Genomic DNA, 17,109 nt, shown 5'->3' on the forward strand with positions numbered 1-17,109 from the left:
TACTAATTGTTTGCATAACCATTGTTAAGTCTTCGATTGAATCTGATCTCAGTATTTTCTACCCACTGGTTCTTGTTCTAGTCTTTTCTTTCTCTGAGACATGTTTTCTAAATGTTAAGCATTATAAGTGACATTGAAAATTCTTCATATTCCATCATATAATTCTTCATATATTCTATCATATAATACATGCTCTCTTTCTCCTGGTCTCTCTCTTCTGAATGTCATTCAGGCTTATAAGTCCCTGGTAAAAGTGAGACATGTAAAACTAACTGTCCAGGAGTTTTTTTGATTCATGTTCTAAACGCTATGCTTTGATAGCCAGACTAAGAGGACTTTTGCTGTTTTGGTAGCAAATCCCACAGCTTCAAGTAGAATTAATGATCTCCATTTTACATATGAAAAGTAAAGAGGCACCAGTTCTTTACAACAGCATACCAGCTTGACTTGTCTGTCCTGTAGTACCTTGCTCCGTAACTGTTGCTTTCCGTAGGAAAATCTTCCCTATAACAGGCTACAAGCTTCAAGCTTAAATAATTAATTTCTCCTTTGGCTAGTTTTCCATCACGTCCATTCATTCATCAAGTGTACATTGCACTTGGATTCATGGGCTCTGAGCTAGGCACGAGAATTATTAATTGAAGAAAGCAAAGGTCAGCTTCAGAGATGTTCATAAAATAGTGTCCTTTATATTACAGTGTAATGACTGCTATAAAGAAGCATATATAAAGTTAGTAATAAATGGTAATAAATTACTGATCTCTGCTCTGGGGAAACCGAGAGGATGGGACATTTCATTTGAAGAATGTAGGAATGGCTGAGCTGAGAAGGCATGGAAGGGCATTGGAGACCCAGGGACCTGCATAGACAAAGCAGTTGAGGTACGGTAACTTAAGGAGTTACACACATTGAGGTTCCTCTTCTTATATACCTCCTATCTGGATTTTCAAGTTTCTTTTTTGTTTGTTTGTTTTTGGATGTTTCTGTTTGCTCTGTCTCTTTCTTTGGAAAGTACTTGTAGGATCAGCTGTTTTTGAAGACGTTAGAAAATACAGACAAGAACATTTTCCTCACTTTTTAAAATGGATTAACATATGGAGGAAGTGGGATAATTTTGATTTTGTCTTAGTCAAAATAGCCTATTTTAAATATTTTGTTGGCTGGGCATGGTGGCTCACGCCTGTAATCCCAGCACATTGGGAGGCTGAGGCAGGATCATGGCTGGAAGCCAGGAGTTAGAGAACAGACTGGGCAACATAACGAGACTCCCATTGCCACAAAAAAAAAAAAAAAAAAGAAAAGAAAAGAAAGCTGGGCATGGTGGTGTGTGCCTTCGATCCCAGCTACTTGGGAGGCTGAGGCAGGAGGATTGCTTGAGCCCGAGAGGTCAAGGCTGCAGTGAGCCAAGATCGTGGCACTGCACTCCAGCCTGGGCGAAAGAGTGAGAACTTGTCTCAAAAAAAAAAAAATTTTTGTAAATGTTCTTTACTAATGGGATAGACACAGTGGGGAGGGGTAGCTTGAGTCTGTTACATGAATGAAATGGAATGAGTACTAAACTGGACTCAATGGGGCCATTGGCGAGGGCCTTGTGGAGATGCTGACGGAGATGGGCAGCATCGCAGGATTGAAAAGCCCATCAGTGCAGTTTCATGTTGGTGAAAATAAAAGCCTGGGCCGGGCACAGTGGCTCACGCCTGTAATCCCAGCCACTTGGGAGGCTGAGGCAGGAGAGTCACTTGGACCTGGGAGGTGGAGGCTGCAGTGAGCCAAGATTGCGCCACTGCACTCCAGCCTGGGCAACAGAGCGAGACTCTAGCTCAAAAAAAAAAAAAAAAGAAAAAGAAAAGCAAAGCCTGTGTGAAAAGCCTTAGCATTAGCTCTCCTGGCAGCAACAGCTGCCTTGCCTGCCTCTGCTTTCGCAGCTGTTTTATGTAGGTGACAGGCGGACAGGAGAACAATTGAGCTTTTTCTTCTGGTTGAATTTGCGTTTCCTCTTTCATTTGTGGGTTATTGTTTGAAAAGAAGTGTACCCACATTCTCTGCTCTGTCAGCATCTTCCTTCCCAAGTTTTGAAGCATGCCACAGATTGCTAGGAGACAGCTGAAATTTTTAAAGCTTTTTATTATGTGTGCTTAAAGAGGGGGGAGAGATGCTCCTTGATGAGGGAAAGGTGCTTAGCATTTGGCAAGAGGAGATCATGCCTTCTCTCCCTACCTTCCCGCAGCTCCTCGAGGCTGGTGTGCAGGGGGAGTATGAGTTTTGCCTGCTCCCCTCTGTGGCTTATTTTGTAGTAAAATCTTGCGTTCTTGTGGAAGTGATTGACACTGATAGTTCTGTCAATCAAGGAAAATGACCAAAGAAAGTCTCAATCATTTCAGGAGGTTTACTTGCTAAAGTTAAGGATGGGCGCCTGGGAGACAGGTCTATGCCTTTCTCCTAAGATGATTTTGAGGTCTTTAGTATTTACAGGGGAAAGGGCAGGATATTAAGAAATAGGCAATTTTCATGTGAGAGGTGGGTAAATGGTCATTCATGCCTTTGTCTGGCTCGGTGAATCTGCATTTGTACATAAGGTAACGTAGACAGTAGGGCAGAGGAAACAATCAGATATGCATTTGTTTCAGGTAGGCAGAGAAACGACTTTGAGTTCTGTCCTACGTCCCCAACACCTGTGAAGATAAGGTATTTGTTTACATTACCATGTTGAACTTTAACAGAAATGCTGTAGGGTAAAAAGCTTGGGACTCACAAGGAGTTTCCTTGTGGGCAAAATATGAGGGAGGTATGTAGCTTTTCATCTTTGTCGCCATTTTATTTAGGAACCCAAATGGGAGGCAGGCTTGCATGACCCAGCTGCCAGCTTCACTCTTCCCTTTGGCTTAGTGAGTCTGGGGTCCCAAGATTTATTTTCCTCTCACAGTTCCATTGCAAAAAGTGCGAAGTTCACAGTGATGGGAAACATAGAGAAGGTACAGCTTCAGCGGCTTACAGAACCATTGTCTGACCTTCGAAACGATGGCGTGTATCCCTAGAGAGAGTGAAGGAATGTCTTGTGTTCTTGTTATGCACAAGGAGGGAAAGGGAGCTAGTATTTATTAAACTCCTACTGTGTGCCATGAATGCTTTCATTTAATTCTCACATCAACCTTCAGATTGGGCATTGTGACCTTTTAAAAATGAGAGCTTGGGTTGGGAGAGAAAAAATGATTTGCTAAGATTATCCAGGAGTGACTGGAAGACCCCAGCACTGGCCTCCCCAGGGTCACAGGCTTCTACCTCCCCACCATGCTGCACTGACTGTCTTGGGGGGATGGATGTGTGTTGACTGGCTCACCCCCCTTTCTTCTCACTCTTCTTATACTGCCAGGGGTGGGTTGTGTTGTCAGATGATTGGCCCAAATTATGATGCAGTCATAATCAAGAGCATGAGCCCCAGGGAATGGAGGCGTCAGGCATGACCTGGTTAGCAACGTGCTCCCTAAGTCATGGCTGGAAGACACCACGTATTTCTCTGCTGGCCTGTATCTACTCACCCTGCTGCTGACATCCCTATTGTGTCCAAAATCACACTTTCCTGACCGTTCCCGGAGTCTTACTTGGTAACCACAGGCAGCGGGCATATAAAGGCACAGTTGCCCTCTTCCTACCATGAGGTTTGGTCCAGGATCAGAGACAACTTTCTCAGCTGATGTTTTTGTTTTCTTTTCTCCTTTTCTGGGAATCTGACCCTCAGGTCTCGCCCTGAGTGTGCAAGCTTTTCTTTGCCTTTGGAGGGAGGCAGGAAATTCTCCTATCCTGGTGGACTCAGCCAGAGATGGCTTCTTTTTCTTAAGTTCTTCCTTATCAGAATTTTCCCAGCAGGAGGTAGGGGTTCATGATGGATGCGTTGGTTTCCTCACATCTGGAAAATAACCAGTGGGGACTGCCCCAGCAGTGGTTTGGTGTGTGTGGAGCCTCTCTGTGGCTGACACCACGTGGTGTCTCCCCATTTCACATCTGTGTGAGGTGGCTTGGACACACTGAGGTGCTGGAGACCAGCAGCACCTCCTGGACTAGCTCCTGCCAGAGTCTCTGCTGGCTAAGAGGCAAATTGGGGGGAGTCATACTGGACTTGGAATAGAGACCTGTTGTCCCTGTTCCAGTTGGGACAACCTTTGAGAAACACCACACCCCAAGGGCAGGCAGTGGTCAAAAGGGGAGAATAATTCACTGTCAGCATCCCTGTTAGCCAAACTGTCCCGACCCGGGGCAGATCGCTTTGTTAGTATAATAGTTTTTACTCTGTTAAACAAAGGTCCCCACATTAAAACCTGTTCTCAGTGAAATGTTAGGCTCGGACACTGATCCCGCAGCCGCCCTCTGCCTCCCAGCACAGGTGGGATATCTCGGATGCATTTATTCTCTCCCCTTGCACGGCTGGAGTAAAGTGCTTATGAAAACATCTCTTTTATTGATTCTACATGCTTTTTAAAATTCCATTTTCAAGATCGAGAACAGAGAATGCGTGGTGCGACCGAAGGTCTCCTGCTGGTGTGGAAAGGTGGCAGGCTGCCTCTGCAGCTTTGCCCGGAAGCTGGTGCCCCGGACTACTGCTTCTCAACACTCCTGAGGAGTTGCCTTTGGCTGTAATCACCCACCGGCCTCCTCTGTATGAACAGCACGGGTGAAACTCTTGATGTTACTTCTTCCTCCATTGAATAAGCCAGATTCTCTTTCTTCTGAGGAATAATTGAAGTCTTTTGCAGTGTACGTAAGCAAAATTACCTAACGCTCTTAAATTTTTCATACAACAGTTTCATCTGGAAGAGAGGCCATTGAAACCAAGCATTTGTGTTCAAGTAAGAAAATGTATCCAAGTCACAAAGAAACATAATTTGGCTTTTGGAGACATGAGCAGCTTCATTTCTCATTTGTTCATTCGAAAGTCTCCACTGGGCTTCTGAGTGCCACATCCTGTCCAGAATGATGAAAGATACAGAAAATGGTGCCTGCTGACCTTCTGGAGTTATTGGCTAGTAAGAAAGGTGGGTGGTATTCCAAGGTTTGTACCAAGAATTAATAAAATACAATCCCAATAATTAAAGTGATACAGTACAAAATGGGGTGCTGTGAGTAGTGAATAAGGAAATGAGGATTAAAGGTAAGGAAGAGTTAGCTGAGCAGAGAGAGAAAGAGGAAAGCAAAACTGGGAAAGAGCAGGAGGGTCAAGAACTGAAAGGGGGTTGGGTGCAGTGGCTCATGGCTCTATTTTCAGCACTTTGGGAGACGGAGGTAGGTGGATCCCTTGAACTCAGAAGTTCGAGACCAGCCTGGGTAATATAGCAAAACCCCATCTCTAGAAAAAATACAAAAATTCCCTGGGTGTGGTGGTGCATGCCTGTAGTCCCAGCTACTTGGGAGGCTGAGACAGGAGGATCGCTTAACCCTGGGAGGTGGAGGTGGCAGTGAACCAAGATGGCGCCTCCGCACTCCAGCCTGGGTGACAGAGTGAGACCCTGTCTCAAAAAAGCAAAACAAAAAAAACCAAAAACTCCACACAGCTGAAAGGGAACAAGGATGTCCTGATGGCCGAGAGGCAGAGGAAGTCCCTTGGAACAACAGGACATTGCCAGCCAACTGAAGGAGTCTTTGGTTCTCACCTTGAGGACGGCCAAACTTGTTTGTCAAGAACAAATTCTCAAGCCTTGTAGAGTTAAGATGGCTTCGTGTAGCACAATTAAATCTGAGCGCTGGAAATTGCTTCCATTGCCTGTGGTTTAGGGTGCCTCATATAAATTGAAATCCAGCAGGCCAGTTTCTAGAATGATCATACTCCCTTGTTTTAATTAATTAATTAAGTTTTTGGTTCTCGGGCCTCAGTCTCCTGAGTGGCTGGGATTACAGGTGTGTGCCACCATGCCCGGGGAATTTTTGTATTTTTTGTAGAGACAGGGTTTCACCTTGCTGGCCACGCTGGTCCACGCTGGTCTTTAACTCCTGAGCTCAAGCGATCCACTGACTTCAGCCTCCCAAGTGCTGGGATTATGGGCGTGAGTCACCATGTCCGGCCCCTTGTTTAAAGTCTTCCTCTTCCTTCCCCAACCCTTTGTCTGTGGTTTGCATGCTGAATTCCTATCACTGTCAAATTCTTCATGGAGACCTTACTCAAGCAGCCTAGAGTCTATGGCTTTACCATTAGGGCAACAAGCTTCCAGAATAATCTGGGAGAAGATGTTCTTTGGGAGAAAGCACTTGTCTTTGTTTTCAAGGTGTTTTATATGGGGTTAAAGATACCATCCTCCTGTTATCTCACTAGATGTAGACAGTTAAAAAGCTTTTACAAAATTTTCGGAATTTTCTAATGTGGTTGGTTGCACAGAATAATTGGCAGCCCTATTAATGATGTTCTGATGATCCTCTTTTGCTATGGTATTAATTTGTTTAGTTTAGTTTTGGGTCAGAAGAAAGACCTCATTGCTTTGATTCTTAGCTTATTGTGTAATCAAATCTTACTTTTTAAAAAAAAGTCCATTGTAGATTGGCCTTCCTGAATCTATAGACAACATATTTGACACTGTGGACGAAATTGTTCAAATAAAATCATTCAGTGTTATTTGGGTTATTAATCAGAAAAGAATGCATCAGATTTAAAAGAATTGGGTTATAAAAATATTGACTGTGCTTTTGGCTGCTTAGAGATTTGGAGCTGCAAGTAAAGGTACTTAAGTTAAAAAAAAAATAGAGCTTCAGCAGGCGGTAGATTGTAGAGTGAGGGGAGGGGACAGGACAGAGCCTGAATGGGGGCCAGACCCTCCTAGCATGTGCACCTTCTCTTTCTCACTGTCCTGAGTCTGAGTCCCAAGGCCAGGTGAGGTCGTCTTCTCTATGTTTAGGAGAGAATAAGAGTCTAGGGGGTTAAGTGATGCTTCCTAGCATGAAGCACAGTGGATAGGTTGGAAGAGAGCAGCACTTCCCTCTGGTTGTGCATTCTGGGGGACAAGTTTGGCCCTCCATGCAGTTGAGGGAAATCTGAGGAGACCCCCATGGCCACTCCCCATGACCAGTGCCATGCTGTATACAGCAGGTGCTCAATAAACGCTGGGAGATGATCTTTGCTATGGACTGAATTGTGTCTCCTTACAATTCCTGTGTTGAAGGCCTCACCCCCAAAGGGATGGTGATTGGAGAGGAGGACATTGGGAGCTGAGTAGGTTCAGTGAGGTCCCGAGGGTGGAGCGCTCGTGATGAGATGAGCGTCCCTGTAGAAAGAGGCACCAGGGCTGTCTCTGCCGTTGTGGGGACACAACAGGAAGCCGACCATCTGCAAGCCAGGAGGAGGCCCTCGCCAGAACCCGGCTGTGCTGGGACCCTGATCTTAGACTCCTGTCTCCAGTACCATGAGAAAAGACATTTCTGATCTTTAAGCCACCCAGTGTGTGGCATTTTGTCGTGGCTGCCCGAGGTGACTAAGACAATCCTTAAAATGCCTTCCAGCTCTAAATTCATCAGTCCTGAGACCAGTGATCATGTGTACAAATCCCTGTGGCTTTTCTCCCCAGTCACTTGATTGATTGGAGGCTTCTCTGTTGTATTGATGAATGGGACAGAGAGGCCCTGCTGGACTCTAGACTCATGGGCCCGTAAAACCCTGAGAAGGACCATGGGCCCCCTGATGTGCTTGGCCAGAGCCCAGACTGCTCATTTGCTCCTCTAGGCCATTCTGAGCTGCCCTGCCTGCCTCCAGCCTCCTTTCTCAGCTTTCCCTCTGCACACCGTGCTGTTTCTGGAACCCACAGGCCCTTCCGGATTCCCTGCCTCTGCCTGCCAGCCTCCCTGGCCAGGTCTCCCTGAATATCCACAGGCAGGACCTCTGTTCTCTCCCCTGCCCCGTTAAAGAAAAGCCAGAGCTGGAGGTAGGAGGTGAAGACAGTTTCTATTCAGGAACTATTGCAGTAGGGGAAAGAGACCTCAGTATAGAGCCGGGCTTAATTCTGAATACAGCATGGACAAGTGGGGAGGTGCAGCCCAGAAACAGGGTGGAAGGCTCAGTGGGTGGAAAGTTACTAAGAGGAGACCCCAGGGGCGAGGGGGATTCTGGCTAAACCCACCTTGCTGGAGGCAGACCAGGGTGACCAGACATCAAGGGTGGGGGACGAGGAACCGATCAGATAGTGACGTTGGGGATCTGGAGGCAGAGTCCAAGGTGGCCAGACACTGAGGGTAGAAGACAAGGAACTGATCAGATAGTGATGGTGTGGGATCCTGGCAAAACCAACTTTGCAGGATTCTTGCTAAAACTGGGCAGTGCAGAGACAGACATGGAAATGTAAAGGTGGAGGCCTGGTTGGGATGAGGATCCAGAGGCACCCAACTGGAGTCTCTGCCAGACCTCACGCACCACCCTGCTGTGTCAGATCCCAGTTACTGCTTGGCTCATGCTGTGAATCCTGAACCCCGCAAAGATTTGTCGTCTTTGTCGTGGAACCCCCAGCACCTGGACCCCTGCCTGCCCCAGGGGAGGTGATCAGAAGAGGCTTCCCGAGGCAGTGGAAGGGCCTGGGATGAAGGTGCAGGGCTCTGCTTCTCCACTGAGAGACAAAATAAAATAAATACAGGTGATTTCTCTTGGTAGCCAAGTCACAAGTTCTACTCCTGTGGGTCAGGGCCCCCTCCTCAAAAATTCCTTTGTTAAAGTCCTGCCTCAGAATGTGACCTTATTTGTAGGTGACAGCTGCAGGTGACACGAGAGCCCTTCCAACAGGGCGTGTTCCTGCCTTCACTGGTCAGCTGCAAAAGGCGGGCACAGGCTGCTCCTGAGGCTGTGTGGCCAGGGCAATACCTCACGGAGCTTCCTGTGGCCACAGCAGCAGCAGCATCTGTGAGCTTGAAAGGGGATGATGAGTGAGACTTTTGTCCACAGTTCTTGGTTGAGCTGCCACAAGCAGATGGGAAAGGCTGAGAAAGAAACCATTCCTCCCTGGGTGGGGACGCTTGAAATTCCCTTTCAACCAAGGGGACGCCACAAGCACCCCGTTCATACCTGCGTGCAGATGCCAGCGCCTGGCTCGTTGGTGACCAGCAAGGGTCCCAGCTGAGCCGGGGTGCTCTCCTGTGGCTCTGGTGGAACGTCCACAGGATACTGGAGAGATGATTCAAACATCATTTAGATGGGGGAGCCGTTGAAATAGACTTGACAGTTTGTTTTGCTTAGTAGAAAAAAATTAAAAAATTGTCAGCTACTATCACCATTTTTAAAATAAGATTAAAAAATGTATTTTACAAAAAAAAAAAGGTAAAAATGAGCAGCTCACCATGTCCCACTTCTTCCACCCCAGCGCCAACACCCTCACTCAGCCGTGGTCCAGCCAGAAGACAAGGTCAGATAAAACAACCATAAAGAAAAAAAAAACCTTCTTCTAGAGTGGCTGGGAATGAGGTCACCGTGATGTCTTCCCCTGAATCGGTGCCATCGTGGTTTTGAAGTGTGACGGTCACTCAGCTCAGGAGTCCTCGCTATGTGAGCCTGTCCACCACTATTCACCCTTGGTGGAAGAAGACCCTGAGCACCCCAAAACATGACATCCTTATTTTCAGGAACCTCTAACTGAAATTGAGCCCTTCCTTTCTTTATGAATATAGGCACTGTCTTAGTTCCCTGCGGCTGTGGTAACAAAGCGCCTCAAACTGGGTGGCTTAAAACACAGACATTTGCTGTCTCAGGGCTCTGGAGGCTGGAAGTCTGAGACCAGAGTGTCACTGGGGTTGGTTCTTCTGAGGCTGTCAGGGAGAATCTACTCCAGGCCCTCCCGCAGGCTCTGGGAGTGGCTGGCTGCCTTTGGCATTCCTTGGCTGGGAGACACAAAGCCTTGAGCCCTGCCTTCCTCTTCACACTGTGTTTTCTCTGTTTGTGAGTCTGTGTCCAAATTTCCCTGGAGAAATACCCATCATATGGGTTAGGGATCCCCCAATGACCTCACTGAAACTTAATGTGGAGCCTGTCTCCAAATAAGGTCACATTCTGAGGTATTGGTGGTGAGGACTTTAACATGGGAGTTTTTTGGGAGGAGGCCCTCACCCACAGTAGTAGAACTTGTGACTTTGTCACCAAAAGAAATCACTTATTTTCACATCGCACCGTAGTAGCAGTGGACATCTCCAAATACCGGCGAAGCTAGTCCTGCCTGCAAAGTTAAGGCAGTTTTTTTTATCAGATCTAGAGCTGGAAATCATTGTTAAATGAGGCGATGAGGAAGTGTGTATATTATTCTGGCTCACTTTTAAAAATATTTTGATCCATTTATTTCAACATAATTGATTTCCCCTGTGATTCTGTATGTTTTGTATTATACATGTAAAAACGTTATTCAGAGGAGTTCACAGGCTTCACCCGACTGTGTTGAAAGGACCCATGATGTAAGGATGTTTGTTGTGGGGGGTGCTTGTGGCTCCTTAACTGGCTCTGGAAAGAGCCTACTTCCCATAGTGAACCCTGTGAGGTCCAATTCTGTTCCTCCCCCTGGAGCTCCAAGAGAAGGTCATTGTCCTTGTAGCAGCAGGTGCCCCCCCAAGCTGGGTTCTCACTGCAGGTGCCAGCGGGCTCTCAGTAGGTATGACCTGGATGTGAGTGGTGAGCCAGGATTGAGGCACTCAGCACCTTCGACCACACTTCCCACTCTCCCTGGGGTTCAAGTCAGGCTATGGAAAGTGTACACCCTGTTTGTCATATAACTGGATGGGTGGTGGGCAGAACGCCTCTGGCAAGGTAGACCTTGAAGGCAAAACTGAGTTGAGGTTTGTTAGGACGGAAATAATTACTGCTGGGCATGCAGCACTTCCCAACCGTTCTGTGAGGCAGGCAGTGTTATTGCCAGTTTGGCACAAGGGCACAGGTGTAGAACACGTAAGTGCCCTGGGCCGTGCTACACCACCACTGTGTTTGAGCTGAGATGTGAACCAGGGCCTTCTGATTCCAAATTCCTCATTCCTTTCATCCTAGCAGGCTGCCTGCGGTTAGCAGAAGGGGACTCCTGTATCTGCTCTGCAGCTTCTTCAGCTGATTTATAATGGAAAACAGAGTAGATATTGATTTGGCAATTAGTGAAATATTATGAGAATCATCATAGCAAACTTCACAGTTTGATCAAGGATCCTGCCTTCAATATCTGGCCAACTGATGTGTAAAAGCAGCTGCAAGAACTTCAGAGCTGACAAAAAAAGCAAACTCCAGACTTTATTTCCTGGAATCTGTTTTGTGAGACACTGGCCCATGAAATGCTCTCCCAGAAATAGTCGGATTTGTGGTCAAATAAATTTGGGCAATTCTACAGAACATGTGTCTTTTTCAGAGATTTATTTTTAATTAAACTTATTTAAAAATATTAACATGGTACAATTTGCATATAGTGAAGTGTGCAAATCTTCGCTACATGGCTCAATGAGTTTTTACATATATTTCCACCCATGTAATCACCACCGAGATCTAGAATAGAATGTATTCGTCTCTCCAGAGGTTCCTCTGTTCCCTTGCAGTCAATAATTCTCCACCAAAGATAAACATTCTGCTGACTTCCTTCATCATTGATAAGTTTTTCCTGGTTTTGAACTTCATATAAATGGAATCATTTCATGTCTAGCTCTTTTCACTCAACATAACATCTGTCAGATTAATACATCGCATGTCAATAGTTTGTAGTTTTTATGGCTGTGTAGCATTTCATTCATTCATTCTGCTGTTGATGGAAATTTCTTGACTAGAGTTGTGTTATCAATTTATTGCCTCTTGGCTCCAAATTCACCCTTTTTGCCTGGTCTCTGGAAATGGGTCTGGGCCCTCTAAATATTTTCCCTTTGCAATCTGGCTCTTGAAGCTTATCAGTGGAGGGTCCTGGAGGGGCATTGCAGGGGAAACAGTTTTTCCTTCCTGGTTCAGGGACGCTGGTTTGGTAGCCCCTGTGGTGTTACAGGAGTACTTGGCAAGACAGCAGTTTCCCCGGGTACACCCGCTAGGTGTTTTGTAGCAGAGTGCATCTGTGAGACAACTGGTGAACTGCTTTCCTTGCAACCTAGAGGGCAGATTTCTGGCAAGTTCCAGAGGGTGGATTCCAAACATGTTCCTCTAATGTGGATCTGCAGTGATGTCTCTGCCATTCAGTGGGCATAGCTGTGCCCTTTTAGTGGGGTCTAGATCTCAGCCCTGGGATTGGGGGCATTTTCTCAGTTGCTCAATCTCAGCCCTAGGGGCAGTGACCATTCCTTATATATGGTTGTTTGTATATTCTTTGGAACTGTCTTGATTTTATTACTGTTAGTCTCTCATTACTCCACTCCCTTATTATAGTAAATGATTCTTTGTATTTGACTTTCCCTGGTCAAGGTACTAAGTGGTTTTTCTCTCCTGTTTGGATCTAGATTGATACAATAATTTTTTGCAATTATGAGCAATGCTGCTGTGAACATTCTTGATCATGTCTTAGTGGACATAAGCAATAATTGCTGCTGGGTCTGTGTGCAGGAATGATTTGCTAGATCATAGCACATACGTTTATCTGTAGCAGAAACTGCCAAGGTATATACAGCTTTCCAAAGTGTGTTAATTTACATGCCTGCTAGCAAGGTAGGAGAAATACAGTTGCTTCCCAAGTAGCTGGGATTACAGGTGTGTGCCACCACTCCTGGCTAATTTTTTGTAGAGATAGGGTTTTGCCATGTTGGCCAGGCTAGTCTTGAACTGCTGGCCTCAAGTGATCTGCCTGCCTTGGGCTCCCAAAGTGCTAGGATTACAGGGATGAGCCACCATGGTCGACTTCATGATAAAACTTCAGTGGATGAGGAGCTGCCTCTTATGATGAACAAAGAAGGTGGTTTCTTGAAATGGAATCTACTCCTGGTGAAGATGCTGTGAACATTGTTGAAATGACAAGAAAGAATTTACAGTGTTACATAGAGTTAGTTGATGAAGCAGTAGCAGGATTCGAGAGGATCGATTCCAATTTCAAAATAAGTTCTTCTGTGGGTAAAATGCTATCAAATGGCGTCGCATGCTACAGAGAAATCTATCATGAAAGGAAGAGTCAATTGATGTGGCAAACTTCATTGTTGTCGTATTTTAAGAAATTGTCACGACCACCCCAACCTTCAACAACCATGACCCTGATCAGTCAGGAGCCATCCACATTGAGGCGAGAACCTCCAGCAGTAAAAAGATTATGATTCTCTAAAGGATCAGATGAACATTAGCATTTTTTTAAGCAATAAAGTATTTTTACGTAAGATATGTATGTTATTTTTTAGGCATAATGCTATTATGCATTTAATAGACTCCAGTATATTGTAAACATAACTTTAAATGCACTGGGAGATAAAAGTATTTGCTCTTTTATGATATTTGCTTTATTGCAGTAGTCTGTAATGGAAACTACATTATCTCTTGGGTACACCTGTATACAGAAAGAAATTTATCATGAGGAAATGCTCATGCAATGATGGAGGCTGGAAAGTCCCAAGATCTGCAGTCAGCAAGTTGGAGACCCATGAGAGTCGATGGTGTGGCCCCAGTCTGTGTTTGAAGGCCTGAGAACCAGGAGAGCCAAAAGCTGGCAAGCTCTGGACCCAGGAAGAGCTGATGTTTCAGTTCAAGTCCGAAGGCAGGAAAAGACTGAAGGCCCAGCTCCAGGCAGTCAGGCAGGAGAACTTTCCTTTTACTCACGAGAGGGTCAGCATTTTGTTCTGTTCAGGCTGTCAACTGAGTGACCCAGAAAAGCTGGCACATAACATTCACCATCGTGCTGCAAGAGCTGCAAAACCCTCTCTGCTTCTAACACTGATGCTCAGCCCACCTCCAGTGGGCAGGGAGCTGGGTGCCGGGAGGACTTGGGGTTGCCAGCCCAGTGTGGGCCTGGACAGTTGCTGAGAATCTCCCTCCGCCCTGTGACTTCTTAATTACTTAGAGGGTCACCCTGGTTGCTCACTTCAGCTCACTTGGGAGATTCTCTCTGCTTGAGGCCAGGGGTAGGTCCAGGTCTGATGGGGTCTGAAGCTTATACAATTGGGGTGGGGGGCATTCCTCTTTAAGGAAAAGAAAACAGCAGAGGTGAGTCGTCCTGCAGCTTAGCTTCACTAGTCTCGTGGAAAATTTGCCTCCTAAAATGTCTTTCCTCTGAGAAAGCCCAGGCCTCCAAAGGCCCAGCCAGGCTGGCGTCAGTCTGGGGTCAGCTGCGGGGAGGCTCCAGGCCATGTGTGACACGGGAGTTTACCCCATCCCAGTTTCCAGTGGAGAAGCATCGTTCTCGTCCACCCCCGTCATGCTCTTTTCCACCTTCTCCAGGGGAAGGGATATTTTCAGTCTGTACAACGAATCCACTGAAATGTTAAGGTGGGCACAGTGGTCTGGGGTCTTCGACCTTGTTTATACGTGGTGCCTGTTACTGGTCGGGTCTGTACAGGCAGTTTCCACTGGCGTTTTTTACCAGGCCAGCCTAGAGTAGAATGACCGCATGTTAAAATATAGATTCCTGGGCCCCAGACCTGCCAGAATCTCTGTGAGATGGAACCTTTCAACCTGGGTTTTAAACAAGCCTCCCGGGTGATTCTGACACTCACTGGATTTGAGAACCGTGGGGTTGTTCAGACAGCAGGGACGTTGATGTTGTTCCTTCTGCGTTCCTGGTGATGCTGTTCTGTTCTCCCAAGGCCTATGCGGTGGTGAGAATCTCCAAGGATACAAGACAGTGATCTGGAGCGAGTGTCCTGAAAGCAGACTCTAGCACTCAGGACTGCCAACACCCTCCCCGGGTTTCCTTGGTCTGGAATTCCCATCCCCTGGTTCCACCTGTTACATCACACCTCCCCTTCAAGGACCAGTGCAGATGCCACGTCCTTCACGGGGCTCAGAATGCTCACCAGCTTCCTCTCCACCGAGGGCCACAGCCCCTGGAGACCCCTTGAGCTGAGTGCTTTGTCCTTGCATACTCTTTCTGGCCTCATAGTGGGGCTTGGCCATTGTCCCTTCACTCCAGATCTCTCCTTTCAGGTCCAGGAAGTGCATCTTGAACTTAACTTTCCAGACCCCCCCTTCAGTTTTCCAGTCCTTAGAGAGGTGGACTTCTGATTCCTTTGTCTCTGTGCCCTGTAGCCTCAGGTCAGGCTTAAGGCAAGGTCTCCTCACCTGGCCTGGGGAGAGTCCCAGGACGCTGCACGTGCCTGTGCGGGTAGGATGCTGATGCCCAGATTTCCCGTTAGAGAGCCTTTCCCTATCCTGACGGCTCTAGCTTTGTGTGTTACTTACTTGTTCCACTTTAATTCAAAATGTACCCAGCAACCAGCTTGTGCACAGTTCTCTGGGGTTTCAGGAGGGATGTAAGACATACCCCTTGCCCTTCAGGCACTATGGCCAGAAGGGGGGCAGTGACCTAGGCAGAGGGCGGGAGCCAGCAGATGGGATACACTCAGAGGAGCCTGCAGCAGGCAGAGGCAGAGGAGAAGGGAGGTCTACACGTTCTGCACTGTATTTATCTCCTTCAGTTCCAAGGTTCTCTCCTGGCATCTATATTGCTCATGAGTTACAGAGCAAAGCCTGGTGTGATGGTTACTTTTAGGTGTCAACTTGGCTGGATTAATAAATACCTAGAGAACTGGTAAAGCATTATTTCTGGGTGTGTTTGTGAAGGTGTTTCCAGAGGAGATTGGCTGTGAGTCAGTGGGCTGAGTGGGGAGGAGCTGCCCTCCATGTGGGCAGGCACCATCCATTGACTGGGCCCAGATAGAACAAGAAGGCAGAAGAAATGTGAATTCCTCTTTCTCTGCTGGAGCTGGGATATTCTTCTTCTCCTGCCCTTGGACATCAGAGCTGCAGGCTCTCTGGCCTTTGGACCCGAGGATTTATACCAAGCAGGTTTCTGGGTTCTCAGGCCTTTGGCCTTGGACTGATAGTTACACCATTGGCATATCTGGTTCTGAGGCTCTTGGTCTTGGACTGAGCCACACTCCTGGCATCCCAGCGTCTCCAGCTTGCATGGCCTGTCACGGTATTTCCCAACCTCCGTAATCACGCTAGCCAATTCTTCTAAGAAATTTCTTCTCATCTATCTGTCTGTCTATCTATCTATCTGTCTACCTACCGACTTACCTACCTACCTGCCTATCTATCTTTTGATTAATCTACCTATCAATCTTTCTATCTATCCATAACCTGTTGATTCGATCTCTCTAGAGAACCCTGACTAATACACCTGGAGTGCAGAATCTGCTGGAGAAACTGCCATTCCGTTATTGACTGGCTGGTCAGGCCATACAGCCTGGTGGTCTAGATGTGTTTGGAGGTAGGGCTTCTGTAGCACAGATAGTGCCTGTTCATGGCTCTGTCCCAGGTAAGGCAGAGCTAGCTTGTGCTGAGGGCTTCTGCTTTGCAGCTGGCCTGGGGTGGCTAGGATCTGGGGACACAGGCTGCCCTTTCCAGGCTCTGTCTGCTGGTGCTGCAGGTGCCCCTACCTCCTCCTTCAGTGGAAGGCTGGCCCCCAGGTCCTCTTTAGGCCCAATACAGACTCAGCCAAAGATGCAGATGTCTCATATATGAGGATTCTGAGCTGTGACTTCTGGTGGTAACTCCACTTTAGGCAGGAAAAATGTTCAACTGCCCATGAAAACAAATGACCCCGGGTCATTTGGGTTTGGCACCTGCTCTGCCAGTTGGGTTTGGCACCTGCTCTGCCTCCTGGGAAACAGTTTGGCCAATGCACTGCATGAGGTGAGCGCCCATCCCTGGGAATTTAGAGCCCTGTGAAGGGTCCTGAGGAGAGGCACATCAGAGAGAATGAGAATTTAAGGTTTACTGTTAAAGCAACCCATAGAAAAGGAGCAGAATTATTCAAGCAAGGAAACAAAGTAGAAAAATATCTTCTTTCCCTTGCACTTGGTTTTTATGTTTCTCTCTAAAATGTATTGTGGGGGAGAAAGCAGTCCCCCAACCCCCCTAATCAGCTGCATATCTTAGCCATGCAAATAAATAATGAAAGAGAGAAAGAAGGAGAGAAAGAGAAAGAAAAGTAAAGGAAGGAAGGAGAGAAGGAAGGAAAGAAAGAAAAGAAAGAAAGAAACTTTGCAGCATCCTGGAGCACCAGTTCAGACAAGTTC

At 46.9% G+C, this 17,109-nt stretch overlaps 1 protein-coding gene across 8 annotated transcripts in view, besides 7 other annotated features; it reads left to right on the plus strand.

Annotated features, from left to right (window-relative positions):
- B3GALT5 (beta-1,3-galactosyltransferase 5) overlaps nt 1-17,109 on the plus strand; it is a 60,198-nt gene that overhangs the window by 28,656 nt on the left and 14,433 nt on the right. For 2 of the 8 annotated variants that reach the window (NM_033171.3, NM_033172.3), the window contains exons 1-2: nt 15,738-16,004; nt 16,190-16,298. The exons of 1 other annotated variant lie outside the window; for it this stretch is intronic. Coding sequence is in view for 1 of the 7 variants with exons in the window: in NM_033172.3 (NP_149362.2) it covers nt 16,287-16,298 (12 nt within the window). In the remaining 6 variants the exon portion in view is untranslated. Of the gene's footprint in view, nt 1-800; nt 882-4,796; nt 5,028-15,737; nt 16,005-16,189; nt 16,299-17,109 lie in introns of those variants that run through there. 5 more of the 8 variants (NM_001356338.2, NM_001356336.2, NM_001356339.2 and 2 more) reach the window with 5 other exon arrangements.
- Nucleotides 1,645-2,145: an enhancer, noted in NCBI's record as "H3K4me1 hESC enhancer chr21:41015167-41015667 (GRCh37/hg19 assembly coordinates)". NCBI's record gives its function as "activates a minimal SCP1, AML or CMV promoter by ChIP-STARR-seq in naive H9 embryonic stem cells {active_cell/tissue: H9 hESC(naive)}" and the evidence as "EXISTENCE:reporter gene assay evidence [ECO:0000049][PMID:30033119]".
- Nucleotides 7,234-7,780: an enhancer, noted in NCBI's record as "H3K27ac-H3K4me1 hESC enhancer chr21:41020756-41021302 (GRCh37/hg19 assembly coordinates)". NCBI's record gives its function as "activates a minimal SCP1, AML or CMV promoter by ChIP-STARR-seq in naive H9 embryonic stem cells {active_cell/tissue: H9 hESC(naive)}" and the evidence as "EXISTENCE:reporter gene assay evidence [ECO:0000049][PMID:30033119]".
- Nucleotides 15,558-16,079: a promoter, noted in NCBI's record as "1-522 LTR promoter". NCBI's record gives the evidence for it as "EXISTENCE:reporter gene assay evidence [ECO:0000049][PMID:14534330]".
- Nucleotides 15,558-16,079: a mobile genetic element, named in NCBI's record as "B3GALT5 ERV-L LTR promoter".
- Nucleotides 15,559-15,583: a transcriptional cis regulatory region, noted in NCBI's record as "HNF-1 site 1". NCBI's record gives its function as "positive regulation of promoter activity" and the evidence as "EXISTENCE:site-directed mutagenesis evidence [ECO:0005528][PMID:14534330]".
- Nucleotides 15,581-15,610: a protein binding site, noted in NCBI's record as "GCE (HNF/CDX site); contains HNF-1 site 2". NCBI's record gives its function as "positive regulation of promoter activity" and the evidence as "EXISTENCE:protein binding evidence [ECO:0000024][PMID:12855703, PMID:14534330]".
- Nucleotides 15,581-15,610: a protein binding site, noted in NCBI's record as "GCE (HNF/CDX site)". NCBI's record gives the evidence for it as "EXISTENCE:protein binding evidence [ECO:0000024][PMID:12855703]".

Source organism: Homo sapiens, chromosome 21 (genome assembly GCF_000001405.40).
Source record: "Homo sapiens chromosome 21, GRCh38.p14 Primary Assembly".
Taxonomy (NCBI): Eukaryota; Metazoa; Chordata; class Mammalia; order Primates; family Hominidae; genus Homo; species Homo sapiens.